Source organism: Homo sapiens, chromosome 12 (genome assembly GCF_000001405.40).
Source record: "Homo sapiens chromosome 12, GRCh38.p14 Primary Assembly".
Lineage (NCBI taxonomy): Eukaryota > Metazoa > Chordata > Mammalia > Primates > Hominidae > Homo > Homo sapiens.
The window spans coordinates 126128670-126151760 of NC_000012.12; the positions used below are offsets into that span (position 1 = coordinate 126128670).

The 23091-nt window shown below is 40.6% G+C and overlaps 2 long non-coding RNA genes across 9 annotated transcripts in view; one reads left to right on the forward strand and one right to left on the reverse strand.

The window, feature by feature from the left end:
* The window catches only part of LINC02359 (long intergenic non-protein coding RNA 2359), an 82665-nt gene that overhangs the window by 34527 nt on the left and 25047 nt on the right, over positions 1 to 23091 (forward strand). The window lies entirely within an intron of this gene.
* The window catches only part of LOC107984447 (uncharacterized), a 55612-nt gene that overhangs the window by 18053 nt on the left and 14468 nt on the right, over positions 1 to 23091 (reverse strand). The window contains exon 3 of one of the 5 annotated variants that reach the window (XR_001749377.2): positions 17334 to 17941. The exons of 2 other annotated variants lie outside the window; for them this stretch is intronic. This is a non-coding gene — a long non-coding RNA (uncharacterized LOC107984447). Of the gene's footprint in view, positions 1 to 17333; positions 17942 to 19870; positions 20199 to 22223; positions 22334 to 23091 lie in introns of those variants that run through there. 2 more of the 5 variants (XR_001749376.2, XR_001749375.2) reach the window with 2 other exon arrangements.

Sequence of the window (23091 nt, forward strand, 5' to 3'; positions counted from 1 at the left end):
GTTGCTTGAAACTGTTGGTTTTCAGTACTAACACTGCAAATCATTTGCTTTGCTCCCCTAATTTTTCTCCTTCCCAGCTATCCCCACCCCTTATTAACTGGGGTATTTCCTACAAGACGATAAATGAGAAGAAAATCCATCTGAAATGAATGAACATTAAAAAGACACAGTGCTTAGTGACTTGCCTGCAAATGTGGTGTCTGTGTGTGTAAGGCATTCTTTGCAGCAGTTATTTTAATTTTGTCTGTATCAATACGGGAAGTCATTCCTTACAGACAAATACAGGAGATCCCAGTGGGGAATTTAGAGCACTTGAGATCATCATAGTCATACACGAGTTCCCAGAATTTGCTATCTTCTTTGAACTTGCCTACTGCTGCTCATGTTAAGAGCAACACATAGGTTGCATTCTGTCATGCTGTTGTTTTAATTGCTTGCTTGCTAAGCTACTGTAGTCAGTGGTTCTCAACATCAGAATCACCTGGAAAGCTTCTGAAAACAAAGACTGCTGGGTCTGGGACCTAAGAATTTTTACTCAGTAAGCTCCCATCGATGTTACTGATCCAGGAACCACTCTGCTATAGGTTGTAAAGGATGTTTCTAGAAATTGCGAATAATTCCAACTGGGTGAAAAGGGGAAACTCAAGGTTTTTTTTTCTATGACATCACTGCTGCCCTGATCTAAAATAATGCTCTGCAGCCCTAGGGGAGAGTCTGCTTGTTGCATGAAATATAAGCGAAGGAAGAAAAAAGTCAATGAAACTAGTGTTTCTCAAAGACCTTCAAATTTACAAAAAGCAGTGGAAATCTCAAGGACCTCTTGTGTACCACAGGAAAAAAAAAAGAGTGGGAGGTCCCTTCCCATGTGATCTTTGGACCTGGTCACAGGGAGTGAATCAGACCTGGAGATGCCCACGGCTCTAGTGGTGAAGTTTAGGTGCTCATTCCAAGATAGAGTTTTGCTTTCAGGTCTAATTCTGGAAAAGATCTGTGACTGTCAGTAGGGAAAAGATAATTAATTATGGAAATTATACCAACGTCTTGGTACAAGATTTGAAAAAAGAAATAGGAAGAATGCAGTAGCACATTAACTCAGCCCTTGGAGTCAAACTCTCTCACGATCTGGGCTATATGAATCATTTGGTCTTCAAAACTTGGTCAAGGCCTTTAAAACTGTTAAGGTTTAGTTCTGTTTCTGTGAAACAGGAATAATAATACTGTCCATATTGTAGATGTTATTGTGGGGATTAAATGGAACACTTTATTATACTCAGCATATAATAAGAACTCAATGCCTGTTAGGTGAAATCAGTATCATCATCATAATCAAGCTACTAGGAGAAAATATAGGCAAATTTGTGTATAACCTTGGGAGTTAGGAAGTCTTTCTAACATTAGTGACGGAGAACATTTTTTATTAAAAAGTAGAAATCTATTTATTCCAGAGTAATAAGGAAAATTAATTTTTTGAAGAGAGTGTAATAAAACTATTTATTTTGAAGCCATGCTTTGAATTTCAAGGTCATCTGTTATGCAAGACACAATATTTTAGGATGTGTCAGGAAGCAGGGAAAGGGTTCTTTTTTCTTAACTTTTATTTTAGGTTCAGGGGCAGATTTGTTATATAGGTAAATTGCATGTCACAGGGGTTTGATATACAGATTACTTTGTCAGCCAACTAATAAGCATAGTCTCTGATAGGTAGTTTTTCAATCCTCACCCTCCTCCCACCCTCCACCCTCAAGTAGACCCCAGAGTCTATTGTTCCCATCTTGGTGTAGCTCCCACATATAAGTGATAACGTGATATTTGATTTTCTGTTTCTGTGTTAGTTTACTTTGCCAGTTCCATTTATGTTGCTGCAAAAGACATGATCTAATTTTTGACGGATGTATAGTATTCCATTGTGTATGTACCACCATTTTTATCCAGTCTACCAATGATGGACGTGTAGGTTGATTCCATGTCTTTGCTATTGTGAATAGTGCTGCAATGAACATACACATGCATGTGTCTTTATCATAGAATGATTTACATTCCTTTGGCTATGTACGCAATATTGGGATTGTGGGGTCAAATGTAATTCTCGGTTTTGTAGTTTTAAGTTTTTGAGATATTGCTAACTAGCTTTCCACTATGCCTGACCTAATTTACATTCCCACCAGCAGCCTAGAAATGTTCCCTTTTCTCTACAACCACCCCAGCATCTGTTATTTTCTGACTCTTTAATAATTGCCATTCTGACTGATGTGAGATGGTACCTCATTTTGGTTTTGATTTGTATTTCTCTAATGATTAGTGATGTTGAGAATTATTTCATATGCTTGTTGGCTACATGTGTGTCTTCTTTTAAAAAGTGTCTGTTAGTGTCCTTTGCCCACTTTTTATTGGGGTTGTTTATGCTTACAAGTTTGTTTAAGTTTTTTACAGATTCTGGATATTAGACCTTTGTTGGATGGATAGCTTGCAAATATTTTCTCTGATTCTGTAGGTTGTCTGTTTACTCTGTTGATAGTTTCTTTTGCTGTGCAGAAGCTCTTTATGTTAATTAGGCCCCGTTGTCAATTTTTATCTTTGTTGCAATTGTTTTGGCATCTTGTTCATGAAATCTTTGCCAGGTTCTATGTTCAGAATGGTATTTCCTAGGTTGTCTTGCAGGTTTTTGATAGTTTTTGGTGTTAGATTTGAGTCTTTAATAAATCTTGAGTTGATTTTTGTATATGGTGTAAGGAAGAGGCCCAATTTCAAGCTTCTGCATATGGTTAGCCAGTTATTCTGGCACCATTTATTGATAGGGAGTGCTTTCCCCATTTCTTGTTTTTGTTGGCTTCTTCAAAGATCAGATGATTGTAGCTGTGTGACATTATTTCTGGGCTCTCTATTCTCTTCCATTGTTTTATATGCCTGGTTTTGTACCAGTACCATGCTGTTTTAGTTACTATAGACTTGTAGTATAGTTTGAAGTTGGGTATTGTGATGCCTCCAGCTTTGGTCTTTTTGCTTAGGATTGCCTTGGCTATTTGAGTTCTCTTTTGGTTCAATATGAATTTTAAAATAGTATTTTCTACTTTTGTGAAGAATGTCAGTGATAGTTTAATAGGAATAGGATAGGAATGGTATTGAATCTGTAAATTGCTTTGGGCAGTATGGCCACTTTAACAATATTGATTCTTCCTATCCATGAGCCTGGATGTTTTTCCACTTGTTTGTGTCATCTCTGATTTCTTTGAGCAGTGTTTTGTAGTTCTTGTTGTAAAGGTCATTCACCTTCTTGGTTAGCTGTATTACTAGGTATTTTCTTCTTTTTGTGGCTATTGTGAATGGGGTTGCATTCTTGATTTTGTTTTCAGCTTGGATGTTGTTGATGTATAGAAATGCTACTGATTTTTTGTATACTGATTTTGTATCCTGAAACTTTGCTGAAGTTGTTTATCAGATGAAGGAGCTTTCGCACAGAGACTATGGGTTTTTCTAGGTGTAGAATCATATTATCTGAAAACAGAGATAGTTTAAGTTCCTCTCTTTTTACTTGGATACCTTTTATTTATTTCACTTGACTGGTTGGTCTAGCTAGGACTTTCAGTACTATGTTAAATAGGAATGGTAAGAGAGGGCATCCTTGTCTTGTTCCAGTTATCAAGGGGAATGCTTCCAGCTTTTGCCCATTCAGTATGATGTTGGCTGTGACTTTGTCATAGATGGCTTTTAATATTTTGAGGTATGTCCATTCAGTGTCTAGTTTGTTGAGGGTTTTTAACGTAAAGGATGTTGGATTTCATCAAAAGACTTTTCTGCATCTACTGAGATGTTCATGTGGTTTCTGTTTTCAGTTCTGTTTATGTGGTGAATCACATTTATTGATTTGCTTATATTGAACCAACCTTGCATCCCAGGTGATATGATTTGGCTCTGTGTCCCCATCCAAATCTCACCTCAAATTGTAATATTCCCTAAGTGTCAAGGGTGGGACCCGGTGGAGGTAATTGAATCATGGGGGCAGTTTCTCCCATGCTGTTCTCATGATAGTGAGTGAATTATCATGAGATCTGATGGTTTTATAAGTGTCTGGCATTTCTCTTGCTGGCACTCATTCTCTCTCCTGCCACCCTGTGAAGAGATACCTTCCGTCATGATTGCAAGTTTCCTGAGGCCTCCCCAGCCATGCAGAACTGTGAGTCAATTAAGCCTCTTTTTTTTATTAATAAATTACCCATTCCCAGATATTTCTTCATAGCAGTGTGAGAACAGATGAATACACCAGGGGTAAAGCCTACTTGATTGTAGTGGATTAGCTTTTTGATGTGCTGCTGGATCAGGATTGCAGAATTTTCTTGAATATTTTTGCATTTATGTTCGCCTGGGATATTGGCTTGAAGTTTTCTTTTTCTTTTTTTGTTTTTTTGGTGTATCTTTGTTGGATTTTAATGTCAAGGGTAATGCTGGCTTCATAGAATAAGTTAGGGAGGAGTTCCTCCTCCTCAATTTTTTGGAATAGTTTCAGTCTGAATGGTACCAGCTCTTCCTTATACATCTGAAGAATTCAGTTGTGAATCCATCTGGTCTTGGGCTGTTTCTGGTTGGTAGGCTGTTTATTACTGATTCAATTTTGAAACTCATTATTGGTCTGTTAAGGTTTTCAATTTCTTCTTTGTGCCATCTTCAGAGATTGTTTGTGTCTAGGGATTCATCCATTTCTTCTAGACCTAGAAGAAATTCTTTCCTCTGAGATTCTTTCCTAGGCTTGGTTGAAGAAATTCATCCATTTCTTCTAGCTTGTGTGCACAGATGTGTTCACAATAGTGTCTGAGAGATTTTTGTATTTCTGTGGGGTTGGTAGTAAGGTCCCTCTTGTTATTTCTGATTGTGTTCCTTTGGCTCTTCTCTCTGTTTTTCTTTCATTTCATTCAGTTCAACTCTGATTTTGGTTATTTCTTGCCTTCCGCTAGCCTTGGCATTGGTTTGCTTTTGTTTCTCTAATTGTGATGTTAGGTTGTTAGTCTGAGATATTTTTAACTTTTTGATATGGAAGTTTAGTGTTAGAAATTTCCCTCTTAACACTACTTTGGCTGTGTCCCAGAGATTCTGTTATGTTGTATCTTTGTTCTCATTAGTTTCAAAGAATTTCTTGATTTCTGCCTTAATTTTGTTATTTGCCCAGAATTCATTCAGGAATAGGTTGATTTCCATGTGATTGTATGGTTTTGAGTTATTTTCTTACCATTGATTCCTATTTTTATTGGACCATGGCTGACATGATTTCAGTTCTTTTGCATTTGCTGAGGATTGCTTTATGCCCAATTGTGGTCAATTTTAGAGTATGTGCCATGTGCAGATGAGAAGAATATATATTATGTTGTTTGCAGGTGGAGAGTTCTGTAGATGTCTACGAGGTTCATTTGGTCAAGTCTTGAGTTCAGGTCCGAAAAATCTGTTAGTTTACTGCCTTAGTGATCTAATACTGTCATTTGGGTCTTAAAGTCTCCCACTACTCTTGTGTGGTTATCTAAGTCTCTTTGTAGATCTCTAAGAACTTGCTTTCTGAATCTGGGTGCTTCTGTATTGGGTATGTATATACTTAGGATAGTTAGGTCCTCTTGTTGAATTGCGCCCTTTACCATTATATTATGCCCTTCTTTGTCTTTTTTGATCTTTGTTGGTTTAAAGTCTGTTTTGTCTGAAATTAGAATAGCAACTCCTACCTTTTTATGTTTTGTGATTACTTGGTAGATTATTCTCCATCTCTTTACTTTGGGCCTATGGGTGTCATTGCATGTGAAGTGAGTCTCTTGAAGACAGCATACCATTGGGTTTTACTTCTTTATCCAAATTGCCACTCTGTGCCTTTTAATTGGGGCATTTAGCCTGTTTATATTCAAAGTTAGTATTGGTATGTGCAGATTTGATCTTGTCATCATGTTTTAAGCTGGTTATTATGTAGACTTGTTTGTGTGGCTGCTTTATAGTGTCACTGGTCTATGTACTTCAGTATACTTTGTAGGTAATGTATGTTGTACCTATGTACTTTGTTGATAATGGTCTTTCCTTTCCACATTTAGTGCTCCCTTCAGGACCCCTTGTAAGGCAGGTCTGGAGGTAATGAATTCCCTCAGCATTTGCTTGTCTGAAAAGGATCTTATTTCTTCTTCACTTATGAAGCTTAGTTTGGCTGCATATGAAATTATTGGTTGAAAATTCTTTTCTTTAAGAATGCTGAATATAGGCCCCCAATCTCTTCTAGCTTTTAGGGTTTCTGCTGACAGGTCTGCTATTAGTCTGATAGGCTTCCCTTTGTGACTTGCCCTTTCTTTGTAGCTGCCTTTAATATTTTTTCTTTCATGTCAACCTTGGGGAATCTGATGACTATGACCATCTTGCAGATGGTCTTGGGGAATCTAATGACTATAACCATCTTGCAGATGGTCTTGGGGAATCTGATGAGTATGACCATCTTGCAGATGGTTTTCTTGTGTAGTATTTTGTAGGGGTTGTCTACATTTCCTGAATTGAGGTTGGTGAAATTTTTATGAATGATATCCTGAAATATGTTTTCAAGTTGCTTTTCTCCATCTCTTTCAGGGACACCAATGAGTAGTAGATTTGGTCTCTTTACATAATCCCATATTTCTCACATTTTTAAAATTATTCTTTATTGTTTTTTCTTTATTTCTTTTAAGTGACTTTGGAGAGCGAGTCTTCAAGCTCTGAGATTCTTTCCTAGGCTTGGTTGATTCTACTATTAATACTTATGATTGCATTATGAAATTTTTCTAGTGTGCTTTTCAGCTTTAGCAGATCAGTTTGATTCTTTCTTATAATGTCCAGTTAATCTAGTAGCTCCTGTATTGTTTTATTGTAATCCTTAGATTTCTTAGGTTGGGTATCAAGTAGCCCCTGTATGTGGATGATACTCATTCCTATCTACATTCTTAACTCTATTTCTGACATTTCAGCTATTTCGGCCTGGTTAAGAATCATTGCAAGGGAACTAGAACAGTCATTTGGAGATAAGAAGATACTCTGGCTTTTTGAGTTGACAGAGTTCTTGCCTGGTTCTTTCTCATTTGTGTGGGCGAATATTCCTTCAGTCTTTGAAGTTGCTGTGCTTTGGATGGATTGTTTTGCTTTTTTCTTCTTTGATGTCCTTGGGGGTTAAATTATGGTATAAGATGGGTTTGATTGACTGGCTTTGATTCAATTCCTGGGTCTTGGAGGAGAACTCTCTGATTATGTCTCCATGCCCACATTTCTTTGGTTAGGTGATCTAGTCTATGGGCCCCTCTCAGACAGGAGCCATGGTTGACCCTAATCTGCTGTCTGTGTGCTTCCTAGGAAAGCATGGGGTTGTGCCTGTCCTCAGAGTTCAGGCAGAAGCAGGACCACTGGTTTAGAAGCTCTAGCAGGTGTGGCCTATCTGACTATGAGAGGCAGAGGTTGGAGGAGTTGCCTTCCCTGCAGTCTGGGGTTCCCAGAGCAACAGGAGGCTATGACCCTCAGCAAATTCAGGCAAAAGTAGGACTACTAGACTAGAAGCTCTAGCATGTGTGGCTCACCTGGATACTGGTGGCAACAGTGGGTAAGGATGCCCAGTCTGCTGCCCAGGTGTTTCTTGGAACAACAGGAGGCTGCACCCACTAGTTGAGTTCCCACAGAATCAGGACCACTGGGCCAGAAGGCAGGTGCTGTCTACCTGGGTACCAGTAGTGGGAGTGGGTGAAGTCATACACTCTGCTGTTTAGGTGTTTCCTGGGACAACAGGAAGCTGCACCCTCCAGCTGAGTTCACACAGAAGTGGGGCCACTGGCCTGGAAGCTCTAGCAGGCATTGCCCTCCTGGCTACCAGTGGCAGGAGCAAGTGGGGTCATGTGTTCTGCCACCTGAGTGTTTCCTGGAACAACAGTAAGCTGTGTCCTCCAGCTGAGTTCACACAGAAGCGTGAACACTGGGCTGGAATTTCTAGCAAATGTTGCCCACCTGGCTATCAGTGGTGGAGGTTGGTGCAACAGCTGGCTAAGTTTGGGCTGAAGCAGGACCTCTGGGCTGGAAGCTGGTGCCAAGCTCTGTCTGGCAAGCGTGGGTGGAGCAATCTCATTGCTCCCAGGCAAGGCAACTTTGACCTCTATAGGGGCTACGATGCCAGTGCTGATTTGCTCCTCCAGGGCCCAAGACTTGTAGCAGTCTCCTTGGACTCAAGAGTTGCCTCTGCAAAACACCTGACTGGCTCTCCGACTCAGTATAGAAGTGCAGTGAGGGATGCAGCAGAAGCAGGGGGACTATCCCATTCCTAGTCTTGCACAGGTGCTTGTGGAAAGCATGAATCCCCCTGGGGGCTCTCACCTACTCACCCTTTCCTGTGTTGGAGAGGTTCTCTTGGCTCCATGATGAGCCCAGACAGGCTTGTGTCCAGCTTCACTCTTCTCTGCTGTGTTCCTATGCTGCCTCGGTGAATCCTAACATGGTTTCTGAGATGATCAACCTGCAGGATTAGTGTTCACTAGCCCTTTTGTTTCCTCCCTGTGAGAGTGGTGCACGTGAGCTGCTTCTAGTCTGCCATCTTGACCCTATCCCCAGAAAAAAAATAATTTTTGAGTAGACTTTTACTTGGTTGTAAAATAGGCCATTATTTACTTATTTAACAAATATTTATTGATCAAATAATCATGCTAATGAGTGAATAAATATAAAAAGAGATATGTTTTCTGTTTAAAAAAAGGAAGAAATGAGGTACTCTGAGCAGTTATAACATGGGAAAAATGGACCACATGGAGGGTAAGCATTTCTAGGGATAAAATACAAAGTAGAGACATTCTGTAAGTAGCATTGAAGAGAAATTCCAATATATAATGGCTAACTACAGGAGGGTGAATCTGTGATTGAGATGGATATGTCATGACCTAAGAATTAGAAGAAACGTCAGGAAAGTGAAACTTAAAATGTGTCTGTTGGGCAGATAATGCTTCAAGAAATTGGAAAAAGATGGTTGCAAACATTTTTAAATGCTGTTAAAATATAATGCAAATATTGATTTGATGAAAGTATATATTTTGGAATTGACAACATGGCAATTTTAGCAAGAGCTAAGGGCAGAAGCCTGAAGGAGTGAGGAAGGAGTGTAGTAACCAGATAACAGTGGTGGGAGGAAAGAGTACAAGGTCAGGAAACGGAGGCAGATTGTATAGAAAATTCTGCTAAGATGTTTAAGTGTGAGTGGGAGGAACAGAGTACAGTAGATGGAGAGGAGAAAATTCTACTAAGATGTTTAACTGTGAGTGGGAGGAACAGAGTACAGTAGATGGAGAGGAGACATGGAGCCCAAGACAATTTTATCTGTTGTTTGTTCAGAATGGAAGAGATATTTCAGATGAGAAGGGTTTGATTGAGAAGGAGAAGCTGACTGCAGGACAAAGTCAAAATGAATTTATCGTGTCAACAGCAAGGGAGGCTATGGGGGGGTGGAAATCCTTAATCTGAGGATCTGGCTATAGATGGAAGGAGAGGCCATTTTTATTTCAACAGGTAGAAAAAAGGAAAAGCCCTGACTTTTGAAGACCAGGTTTCTCTGTGCAAAAGGAGGATCACAGTCATCTACCAAGAGTAAGTGAGAAGGCAAGGCTGTCAGAAGAAAACAAAATGATTTGAAGTAGCAGTTAGAGAAAGTTGAAGAGCAGGAAACTATAAATGGATTGCTGCAAAGGATTTAAGATCCAGTCGTTTCACATGGTGTCACCTCTCTGTTGTAGGGCTTTGCCCAGAAGGGCTTACTGCTTAGGTGTAGATGGAGAAAGTGGATAGCGATATCCATGCTTGGTTGGCGATGTGCCATATGGATGAGGAGTACCAACAGAGACACCTTCGGAAAGCTAAAGCAGTTCCATGAATGGAAGATAAGGACTAGCAGGTATAAGGCTCACACTTAATCTCTGTTACCAAGGGTATCCTTGGTATCTGACAGTGAGTCAGGCCAAATAAAGATACTCAGGTCAAGGTGTCAAATATTCTGTTTAAGAATGTGAAGAGATAAAGAATGAGAAGAAGATAAATTCTACTTCCCTTTTAGGAAGTAGCATTTATTTATAATGCTATAGTAAAATAATCTTTTCAGAGACTATTTTAATGTGTGACAGGGTATTTAAGACAAAAGGGAGATCCTGTTGAGGGGTATATTTTAATTATTCCAGGTTTACTTTTGTTACACAGAGAGACAGCCAACCAACTAGGATCATCTTTGTTCGGGGGAAAAATTATTGTAGTTGTCTCCTTTATTATATAAATGCCCATTGTCTTAAAAGAGTCATATTCAAGAACTGGGTGGTTATACTAATTAATTAAGGAGATGGGCTTCCATTATCTGCCATGCACTATGGATGAGGATAGAAAAAGTTGAACAAGAGTCCTACAATGATGGTACCTGCATTCTACTGGATTAGCAAAAGATATAACCCATCCTCTTATGATATACCAAACTGATACTGAAAAAAAGGTAAGTTAATTTGATAAATGAGCCCATGTCCTCCTGGAAGGGAAAATGGATAACCCACTTCCTGTATCCCAAGATTTGAAGTTAGAGAGAACAGGGCCACACAGATAAAGATCCAGTGAGAGAAAAGGACAATTAATTCCACAAAATAAAGAGATCTTATGGAAGGAGTAGATTTAGGCTGGCAGACTTGTTTAACCCATGGACACAAAGACTGGTTTCACGTCGCTGGTTTCTGTGTAGTGTGTCGCTGGCTGACGTAGGGAGCCAGAGATTACCCCAGCACAAAACAATGGCTAAAGAGGCACATGAAGTACAAAGCACTCTACCTTCACAAACAACTGGTCCTGGACAGTTTTCTCAGCAGTGGAGAATTACAGCAGCAGAACTGCACAGAACCACTCTTCAACAATGACACCATCTGGCAGTATGGAGTAATGACAGCAGTGGACTGGCAGAGGCCATTTCTTTTCTTTGGCATTTCAAGGAATATCAATTCCATTTAGACTATATTAACTCCCATGAGTTTTGAACAATTTGGTGTAGGCGGAAGTCCAAAGAGGGCAATTCTGGAATTGACCATATATGGTTCATGACCATATATGAAATATTGTAAAGAAATAATAATTGAGAGTACATGTACTGCATGGTTACTTCATTCATGAAAACAGTACTCTGATTTTGTTCAAGTACTGTGTTGCCAGATAAATATCCATGGAAGATACTTTCCTCCCAAAGCTGCAAAGATGAATCATGATTTGCCTGCCCCTTTGGGTGATGAATCCTATTCTTTTCTGCTGTACTTGGTTGCATTGAGTCTATGGCCAATGAGCTATATGGGAGAATTTGGGGGAGGTTAGCCCCCTGAGAAGAGATGACACTGTGGATGAGGTCCCTTTTCTGCCCACTCTATCTTCTCTGCTTGAGATGCTGGCGTCTGAGAACATGATGCTTGGGGCTGTGGAGCCATTTGCAGTCAGCAGAAAAAAAGCCAAGAAAATCATAAACATGTGGATGCCATAAGCTCTCAGAGCTGCTGAACAAACCCAGCACTGCCTGTGTCCCAAGATGTTGTGTTATGGGTGATTAAATGTCTTCAGTATTTTAGATATTAGTAGTTGAACATACTGTTATTTTTAGCAGAAATCTTCCCAAATGGACATATTTTTGTGCTTTTGCTATAACAAATTGTCCATAGATCAGTTTTCTCTAGTGACATAACCTTCAAAGCACCACATATGCAAAGATAATCTTATCATAATTGCGGTTAAATAAATCCCCATGTAGTATGTCTTGAAAAATGTGCCTGAGCCAGCATCATGGTGTCTTCCACACTGAACATGGTATAGCAGCAGCAGAGGTGCCCAGATATCGAAGTGGTCCTACCATCGCCTGGAGCTTCCTGAGTATAAATAATTCTCATGCATCAAGAAAGTAGAGACTTAGAAAGGAGAACCACTGGACTTTATGATAAGCAGAAGGAAAAACAATCACGCTAATCACACTAACCAGATAATCAGACAAGGGTAGTTGACTTGGGAATTCTACCATGATGAGATGACCAGACACACACACACACACACACACACACACACACACACACACACCCTTCTGCACTATATTAATGTCCTGTATCTGAGATACAACTCAATCCAAAAATTAAGTGTGAGAAAATTTTATCAGCATTTACTGGTATTTTCTCAAGCATTCTGGGCAATAAAACTCAAAAGACAACCTGAGTCATATAGTCATATATAAACATAGAAGTTTCCATTCTTCCAGAGCTGAGTTCATGGATGGAAACTCATACCTACTACAAAAAAAAGAAAAATGCTAGGAGCAGCTATTCAAAGAATAACATTTTCTTCGTCACACTATGCATACATCAAATTAACACACGGCTTATGGAACATGGAAGGTTAAGAAAATAACCTTTAACGTGACAGCTAAATGAAATACTGCTTAAGACTGGTAATGGCAAGACAGTTATATACATTTTGTTCAGTCAATGTATCCAGAAATAGCTCAGAGCTTGAAACTAATACTGGATAAATGTCATTGGCTGGGGAGTTAGTTTGTACCAGGGAAGGCCTGGACTCAACATTTTGCATCCTCTGTTTTGCCTCATCCTCACAGACCTACAGACAAAAAATTCTATTTATGCAAATGTTGTTTAATGGGCCTCTGGTAGACGGGTCAACTTGGGAGAATGTGCTTAAGTCTTGGGTATATTTGCTGGATGGAGTATAAGTTTTAATAACCTTAATGCTATATTATAACTAAAAATGTGGCTGACAGAAAGTAGGAGGAGGCCAGATGGGAACAAAAGGAAGAGTGATAAGATACGGAAAGCTCAAGCATCTTCACTTACTAGAGTGGCACATCAGTGTGTTGCTGAAAGGCAAAAGAACAAGTAATGGAGACATTAGCACCTTCTGTGGAATTAGGAAGGTGATACCAAGGACAACTAAAAGCAATCCTCTCACTCCCTGAAGGAGAGGGGCCATGTGAATAATTATAGAATAAAACCTCACCTGTCCTGTGGGAATCCCACAGGCATTACCTAACGTCGATAAATGCTATCATTATGATATTCTGGAAGATAATACTGGAAAATTAAAGACTAAAATTATTAAAAGAGCCTTCTTTGGTAGAGAAGAATAGGAGGAATATTGAAATTTTTCACCAAGAATTTGTCTGTAATATGTACTTGTGTCATGTATGTTTCATGGTAACACATCAAGGATACATTTTATATAGGCATAAAAGCATCTACTTGCAAGGATACTACCCAAATTGAACATGATATGTGTTTTTGGAAGACTACAGTTTGCTTTATTCAGAAATAAAATATGTTCCAAAATTCCAAAGGAATATTCCAAAATATGCCAAACCTCTCTCAACCTCTCTTTTCCCCCACCCTTCCAATGAGTTAGTTTGGATTTTGAAATATATTGACATGTAGCCAGAAGCCTGGTGATTTTACCTGGGAAATAAATTCTTTATCACTTCACTTTTCTTTCTGATACCGCACTATGCTTGAGAGGATGACCAGCTGCCCATCCAAAACAGACAAGGCAAAGGTCTCTGGGCCCCAGGGTGATGAGTTTGCCTTTCCCCCAGGGTTGCTGTGGCTCTCAGAAGGCAGCAGAGACTGGTGGGTGGACAGTCATATGCTGTGAGGTTGGTCACTGGCCCCACTGGTCCCAGGACTCAATCACATAATCAGGTGAGGATGAGAATGGCTTATTCCCACGGGCTCTGGGCCTAAGGAGAAAGAGGCTTTGCCGATTGTGAGTGTGTATGCAGGGGAGGCATCCCCGAGACAGCAGCCCCCATGCCTGGTGGGATGGGTTTGGAGCCCGAGTCAGAATCAACCAGGTGGGGAAGGAGGCCCAGTGAATGAAGAGTCGGCTTTGCAGAAGCCTCAGGCAGGAGAGGGACAATATCATCCTGGCTTTCTTTTCTTCCATAATCACGTTTCACCTCACTGTATTGATAGAAAAACAAAGCTATAAAATTTCAAACTCCATAAATTTTCAATATCGATGTTTAAAGAAGTGTTTTAGCACCAGTATGACAAAGGTTTCAATGTCAAAAATCCACTTAAATATAATTGGAAGATACAAGAAAATCCATAGGGCCAAATGTAAAAGAGGGCTCATAACAACAAAAGGATGGGGCATGTCAAAGACACAGGGGACAACCCGAAAAAGCTCTCAAGGACTAAAGTGGAAACAACTGGAGTAACCAAACATAAAGTAAAAAGATCCATGAGTCCCTACTGATATAAATAAATGACGGAACAGATAAATGGGAAGAACAGATAAATCTCCTTTAAGCAAGAATTACAAAAAATTTATGTAGCCACTCTCTCTCCTTTCTCTGGGAGGTGGAGTTTAATTCTCACCATCCCTCCCCCGGATGAGAGTTGGATTTAATGATTTGCTTTCAAAAAATAGAGCTGGAAAAGTGTAAAAAGAATAATGTTAGAATGAAGAAATACGGTGAACACTACCCTGAGCAGGTGATCAAGATTAACATCAACAATGACAAGTCATATTGACAATATGTGGCCTTCATAGGATGTGGTGAGAATGGCACTTTATGTCTGTGGTCTTCTTCCAAAAACACATAACCTCAGTCTAATCATGAGAAAAAAAATCAGACAAACCCAAACTGAGAATATTCGATAAAATATTAGTAATACTGGCCAATCCTCCTCAAACCTCTCTTAAGGTAATGGCCAAAAAAACAAGTCTGAGAAGCAGCCATGAGTGGGCATAGATGAAGGAGTCATGATGATTAAATTCAATGTGATATTTGGGTTTGGATCCTGAAATGAGATCGGCAGTAAAAAAGCTGGTGAAATACATACAAAAATTAGCTGGGTGTGGTGGCACGCACCAGTAGTCCTAACTACTCAGGAGGCAGAGGTGGGAGAATCGCTTGAACCTGGAGGTGGAGTTTGCAGTGAGCCAAGACCAAGCCACTGCACTCCAGCCTGGGTGACAGAGTGAGACTGTCTAAAAAAAAAAAAAAAAAAAAAAAAGCTGGTGAAATACAAATAAAGTGTGGGTTTTATTGAATAGCAACATACCCAAGTTTAGTTTCTTAGTTATGATAAATGTACTATTGTACCTGATAGAGTGAAAACCTGATTCTAATTAGAAATACAAAATTCTCTCCTAACTAGGAAGGGTTCAGTAAACTTCACAGATTTTGCTTTTTCTAGGTGGGATGTATTCTTAGGGGCCAGAGCACAATTGCTCATAGCATTGATGGATAAATGGATGTTCCACTTCTTGCCCTTCTTAGCCAAATTAGTCTTTGTATTAACTTTGAGCAAACATTTAAAGAAAATCAGTGGAGGGGTGCCTGTGTCTCCTTCCAGGACAATCCATGTGCCTGAAGTCTTGCTTACTGGGCAGGAGGTGTTATTATCCCTATTTAATGTATGAGGACCCTGGAGCTCACAGTGGGAACATATTTTACTCTAAGATTTGTATCTGTTGGACCAAGGCCAGCATTCTCAGATCGCAGTGCTTCTTTTTCTGCACTGTCCACTTTTTGAGCTCATATACCCGGTGCTTGGTTTGATGTTTGGTTCAATGAATTAATGTACAAATGGGAGCATCAGATGGTGCAACCCAGGCCTCCTCAATCAAGGGCCCCGGAAACACCCTACCCTGCAGCCTCCTTTTCAATGCTTTCTTGGAATATCCTCAAATTTGGTCACTCAGGTGACTTTGCTGAAAAGAACAAATATCTTTTGGGAATACAGAGACATATCAGTCATTTATACCTTGACTTAGGTAGTTTGATCAGCTTTGTACACCTTGATGAGAGACTGACAGAGAACGTGGCTTTCTCTGAGTGGAAAAGATAGAGGTCATGGTGAGATAATTCCAGGGTCTGGAGTTGAGTGGTGGGTGGGCGTTGATGAAGAGATCTTTCGACAGAGTGTAAGATAAGAAGACAGGGTAAGCTGGAAGGAAGAAATTTAGGAGACTAGATGGGAGTGAAGAAATAGACAGTGAATGACATCATTTTTAAGCCAGCCTACACAAAGGCCACTGAGTTAAACTTATACAGATAGAAGTAAAAAAGGAAAGTGATCATCTGACCACAGGAGTGAGAAGCAGGGCCCAGCCCAGATGCAGTTAGGTAAACAGAGCAGAGAGGCTGGGCTGAGACCACACGTGAAGCATCACACCTGGTTGGTTGCTCTGGTAACAGGCATGTCCCTATTCTCAGGGCGATAATGTTATGCTGAGGAAGAAGGAGTATTCAGAAGTAACAGTGATTGGGGTCATGGCGGCACGTAGTCTGTGAGCTGTTTTTTAGGGACAGTTTGGGGGGAAGTTTCAGAGTAGTCTTCAGAGATGATGAAAATGAAAGGATCCACTACAGCCTCACATTGTGTTATGGCTTCTTGGAGCTGTCACATGCTCATCAGGCCCCTAGTCCAGTGAGGGTGAGCCAGGTGTCTTTGACTCCACACTCCTTGCCCCGTCCTATCTGTGCGTCTGTGTGAATAGAGGCCTTTGGCTCCAAGTAATGACATTTAGTAAGGGCGTTTGAATCATGGAAGGCCAACCTTTCTTGATGGGTACTAAATAATATAATGGAAAAGTTTTTAATTACACCATTAATTGCCTAGTTGTTTAATTGTTTGGCTTCCCAATGGAGTCAGTGTGGAATTTTATTGCCTGTACTTCACATTAGATAATAAAGGGAGAGGAGCCTTTAACAACCACATTAGATTAAGTTAAAACAGATGGGTTTTTCCATATATATTAGTTTCCGTTAATGAAAGACAGGTCTACACTCAACAGGTGATTACCTTTCCACAGCTGAGCTCCAGGAGCTGAGAATCTGCTTAAATTGACTTAGCAGGGCTCAGGAAATGGCATTCTGAAGTCCAAATCTAACACACCACCTAGTTTTGTAAGAGCTATGAATTAAGAATTACTTTTATATTATTAAATGTTTAAATTAAATTGAAACAAGATATTATTTTGTAACGTATGCAAATAACTTAAAATGGAAATGTCAGTGTCTATACATAAAGTTTTATTAGAACTAAGCCAACTTCATTTATTTGCATATTGTCTGTGGCTACTTTCACATTATAAGAGAATCTAATAACCTTATAACAGAACTATTGAGCATGATGTTATGTTTAGGTGCAACAGAGACCTACAATATTTACTATATAACTCTTTACAGAAGATGTCTGCCAACTTCTGGATTAGAGAAACAGCTTTTAAAATCTCATTTTCTTTCATTTTGAGGAATGATTTCGACATCTCTTTATTTATTCATTTTTTTCTCAGTCTGTTTGTGATGCTATAACAGAACACCTGAGATAGCTCATTTATAAATCATAGAAATTCATTGGCCTATGGTTCTGGGGGCTGGAAAACACAAGAGCATGGCAGTGGCATCTGGTGAGGGCCTTCTTACTGCATCATCCCATGGCAGAAGGCTGAGGGCAAGTGAGGGCAGAGTGAGAGAGTGCAAGAGAGGGACAAACTTACTTTAAGAGAAACCCACTCCTGAGCTAGGACATTAATTCACTCATGACATTAATCCACTCATCGTAACCTATTAAAGATGCCTCCTGTCAATACTATTGCATTGGGGATTAACTTTCCAACACATAAACTTTGGGGGCCACATGCAAACCCTAGCAGATTCATTAAAAAGAAAGTAAAGTACACCTGTTTTTTTTCCTTTTTCCCTGACATTGTACTCAGTACTGTGGCATCTAGAGTAGATAATCCTCCACTCTGACAATGAGAGCATTATAGTCTGGAGTCAGAGCTCACACACTCAGATAGGCAGCCATACCAGCAGTTAAAGCCCGTAGCTGGGTCCCCTCATGAACTTAGCAGCTATGTGGATGAAAAGTGACTAAGACAGCCCCTTTTCCTGTGGAACTGTAGTCAGCTGGGCCCAGTGCTGTAAAATAGAGAGTTAAGTGAACGAGATAGCATTAAATAACCTGGGGTTTACAGAAAAGTATTAAAAGACTTCAAATTACACTTGAGCCATTAAGTGCTCCCAAGGTTAGAGTCATTAGAGGGTTAGGAAATGCTTGCAGTTTCACAATGTTACGATGTTCTTTTAGTTCACTCTTCTCCTTATGCCTGGATGAAAGGTTCTTGCTTCTTTGCTTGGATTATTTCTGCCTATTACAGGCACCACGTGCCCTGCGAATTTCCCTCTGACCAATGCAATTGCAATAAGCCTCTTCTCCAGCTCCTCGTAGCTTGGAGCTATGACCCACATATCACTTGATTAGATCTGGCTCTTTTCTACACTTTTCCTGTGATTGACTCTGAGTTCTTTGAGGAAAAGGATGATGTTCTGTCTCTCTCTGCATTTCCAGGGCTTAGTACAGTTCTTGTAACATAGCAAGTGATTAATGTTTTTGATGAGTAAATGTGAGAAGGGGTCACACATCCAAAGGACCTCAGAGACCAGTCATATAATGTATTTAGAGAACAGCGAGTGGTGAGGACGGTGGGTGGACAGCCCCATCTGAAAAGGCACTGGATCCTCAGCTCCAGCTGCTTCCTTCCTTCCATGGGGGCAGGTGGGGCCAGTAGGATCAGAGTTTCTGATTTTTCAATAGAAGTCAAAAATTTGTGCTGGAAATACTTCCGAATTTAAATTTGACTCTTAAGTAAGTTGACTTTTAGCAAAAGTCAGGGGCCAGATTAAGTTCATGACAACATTTCAGCAGGAGTACAACCTGAAGAGTGGCATCAGAGGGACTCTTAAATGTCAAATGAACCATTTAATCCAATCCAGTCATTGTCTGTTTAATCCAATAGTACTTTTTCTGTGGTCACTCCCTGGCCTGGTTTCAGACAGCTGAGCAAGATTTGGAAGGATGTCACATACAAAATATCCAGCGAGCTGGCTGGAGTGCAGTTAAAGAAGTGCCTGAAATGTCTCTAAAGTAAAGAAAATGCTAATGGCCCTTTTGACTGGTGGCAGTTGACTCCTGTCATTTGTCTTCATGGGCTCATGAAAAGGGGATTTTACTTTAAGCTGCATTCTTGACTGCTGTTGCCCTCATACATCTGCAGAGATATTAAAGTCCCAGCTATGCTGAATTTCTAAAGGCCGGGATGGGCATTTGGTTTAATGGTGTGACACCGACCAAGGAAAACAAGGTCATAAAATAAAAAAGAGATTGTGCTTCCCTAACTCATATCTTGGGGGTCAGGAATAAACGGATGAGAAAAGAAGAAGGAGCAGTTAGAATCATATGGAACCGAGCTTTGTCTTTCGTGACTTGATGAAACTGTTTTGCAGCTGGTAACAAACCGAGCTAGTGCATTTCAGTCTATATGAATAAGAACCTTTCCTCTACCTGAAACCAAAAAGTAGTAACACTAAAATAGCAAACACAGCATTATTAGGTGCCTGATATTGTTATAGGTGTTTCCATTTATTAACTCATTTAATCCTCACAATGACCCCAGGCACGAGAAAACACTGTGACCATCCTCATTTTCCAGATGGAGAAATTGTGATCCAGAGAGGCCAAGTCACTTGCTTAACATCACCCACCCAGTAGCTGCCCAGTCCCACCTCACTACTACCTCCTGAGGGCAGTGGCTTTCCATTGTAGCAGAGAGAGAGACCTGTGTCTTCAGGGGCAGCACTGAATTGTCAACATAATTTACCCTCCATCTCTCTAATCTGTGTGTTCAAATAAAAAGTTCACGTAGGTTCTAGGTAAACATACTTATTTCCATTGCTTTACTTCACTTTCTTCAGAAATACCATTAAAATATAGGAAAGTCATTTTATTTTAAAAGTGGGAGATGACATAAACGCACAAGAACAAAGCAAAGGGAGAGACAATGGCAGTGATGGAGTTTGAGAGTTGCAAAATGGATTAAGTAGTTACTGACTCAGCCAACCAAAGACAGGTTAACCCGGCACCAGGGGCAACCAAAACTAAATTAAGTTCATTGTGCAGAGAATCGAAAAGTCTCAGGTGTTGAGGGCACCATGATCAACTGAATTGAGTTGGGGGCATGAGTGTGACAGATTCCCTGAGTCTCTAGACCCTTTGGATACCATCCCCCTACCAACCTGGATGCTGCCCTGGTCACTTCTGGAGGTCAGCTGCAGAAGGCAGGCAGCCAGGCTCACCAGCTCCCTCTGCGCCCTCCCTCCAGGCTGGAGACAGAGGAGCCTGGGTGGAAATGGCAAAGAGGAAGTTGTGAATACTGACAGTGACCCTGAGATGAGCCAACCCAGCCACATCACCCTCCAGAAACATCCCCCACTTGTCAGGCCCTGCTATTGGACCCAGAGTTTCAGGGAGGCTTTTCGGTTTGTCACTTTTTTTTTTTTTTTGAAATGGAGTCTTGCTCTGTCGCCCAGGCTGGAGTGCGGTGGCACAATCTTGGCTCACTGCAACGTCCACCTCCTGGATTCACGCCATTCTCATGCCTCAGCCTCCCAAATAGCTGGGACTACAGGCACCTGCCACCATGCCTGGCTAATTTTTTTTTTTTTTCATATTTTTAGTGGAGACGGGGTTTCACCGTGTTAGCCAGGATGGTCTTGATCTCCTGACCTCATGATCCACTTGCCTTGGCCTCCCAAAGTGGTGGGATTACAGGCGTGAGCCACCGTGCCCGGCCGGTTTCTCTCCTTTAAATATGAACAGTCAGCAAAGGGCCCCCAAACTCTGGAGGAAAACCTCTAACAGGAAAGACAAAGGTGGGAAGAAAAAAAAATACAACAAAACAAAAACAACTTGGAGGAAAAGATACCCAGCAGAGTCACAAGAGAGTCAAGATATTAATTAGCCAGGTGTGGTAGGTGGGAGGATTGATCAATCCCAGGAGGTCGAGGTTACAGTGAGATGGCACCACTACACTCCAGCCTGGGCAACAAAATGAGATCCTATCTCAAAGAGAGAGAGAGAGTCAAAAAATCCATCCTTCCTTTTTATAAAGATGTGAGGGTCTTAGAATCTTATTGGGGAGCTTTAAAAAAATATTGTCAGTCGATGTCGTGCCAGATTATTTAAGAATCTCACTGGGGTAGCAGCTGGACCTTGGTCTGTTTTTCCAGTCCTCTTGATTCTGATGTGCCGTCAGAGTTGGAAATCACTGGTCTGGTCCAAAGTTTCTCAACCTTTTATTCCCTAAAACCTGAGCTATAAACTCATTTCCATATGAAACTGCAGCTCTATATATCAGTGTGGCTGCAGGGCTTGTATCTCCCTCATAGGCCTTTTGTGAAGATGAAAAATATGTGTCAGCTGTAATTATTATCCCATATTTACACAAACATTTGTACTTATTTATTTCACTGGTGTCTTTTCTACCTATTACTAGATATTTATCTCTAGACCAGAGTTTACAATCATCTCAAGTACAAGGCAGGGATGATGATAACTACCTTTTACTTTGAATAGAAATTATTTTATCTATAAAAAATACAGCTTGTACTGATGCCTCATAGGGTTCCCATGTCCCTCTTCCTCATCAGGGCAGACTAACCCCACCCCTACTGGTCTAGGTTATCCAAAGATATGCAACAAGCCCCTTACCTCTCCTCACCTCGGTTTTCTCATCTGTTAAATGGGAGTATCCACTTCACAGGGTCTTTTTTTTTTTTTTTTTTTTTTTTTTTTTTTTTTTGTGAGGGTACTTTTAGGTAATGTAGATAAAATGCTTTCTACTCAAAGTGAAAGGTCATTATCATCATCCCTGCCTTGTCCTTGGGATGATTGTAAACTGTTCTAGAGATAGCTTTTCAATAGTAGATAGAAAGGACACCAGTAAATGAATAAATGCAAATATTTGTGCAAATATGGTGGTAATGATTATAACTGACAGCTATATTTCATCTTCACAAGGGGCCTATGAGGGAGAAACATAATTATCATATCCATATTTCAGATGGGGAAACTGAGGTATTTGGCAGTAAGTGACTTTCCCCAGATCACACAACTAGGAGGTGTTGGAGATGGGATTAACCCTGGCCAAGTTTGGCATCCGAATCTGCTCTTGCAATCACCGTATTTTCTCAGCCGTGACAAACCGAGTCTCTAGAAGCACAGTGCTGAGATTCACAGGTGGAAAGCCTAAGTCCCTGTGATAGGTGGGATTTGGGCTCCTGTGACCTTCTCCCCGCTGCCTTTATGCCTGAGGATATGTCACAAGGCATTGAACTGACCTGAAAATAAAGAGATTATCTTGGATGATCCAGGAGAGGCAGATCAGAAGAGGAGAGTGAATCAGGAGAGTCCTAGAGACGCAGCAGAGGAGGCAGGAGCAATTTGGAGGGTGAGAAGGACTTGACTTGGCATTGCTGGATTTGAAGATAGAGGAAAGAGCCATGAGCCGAGGAGTGTTGACCGCCTCCAGAAGCCGCAAATGGCCCTCAGCCGACCAGGCGCGGTGGCTCACGCCTGTAATCCCCGGCACTTTGGGAGGCCAAGGCGGGCGGATCACGAGGTCAGGAGATCTAGACCGTCTCTACTAAAAAATTCATTGTAGATTCTGGATATTAGCCCTTTGTCAGATGAGTAGGTTGCGAAAATTTTCTCCCATTTTGTAGGTTGCCTGTTCACTCTGATGGTAGTTTCTTTTGCTGTGCAGAAGCTCTTTAGTTTAATTAAATCCCATTTGTCAATTTTGGCTTTTGTTGCCATTGCTTTTGGTGTTTTGGACATGAAGTCCTTGCCCACGCCTATGTCCTGAATGGTAATGCCTAGGTTTTCTTCTAGGGTTTTTATGGTTTTAGGTCTAACGTTTAAATCTTTAATCCATCTTGAATTGATTTTTGTATAAGGTGTAAGGAAGGGATCCAGTTTCAGCTTTCTACATATGGCTAGCCAGTTTTCCCAGCACCATTTATTAAATAGGGAATCCTTTCCCCATTGCTTGTTTTTCTCAGGTTTGTCAAAGGTCAGTGTGGCGATTCCTCAGGGATCTAGAACTAGAAATACCATTTGACCCAGCCATCCCATTACTGGGTATATACCCAAATGACTATAAATCATGCTGCTATAAAGACACATGCACACGTATGTTTATTGCGGCATTATTCACAATAGCAAAGACTTG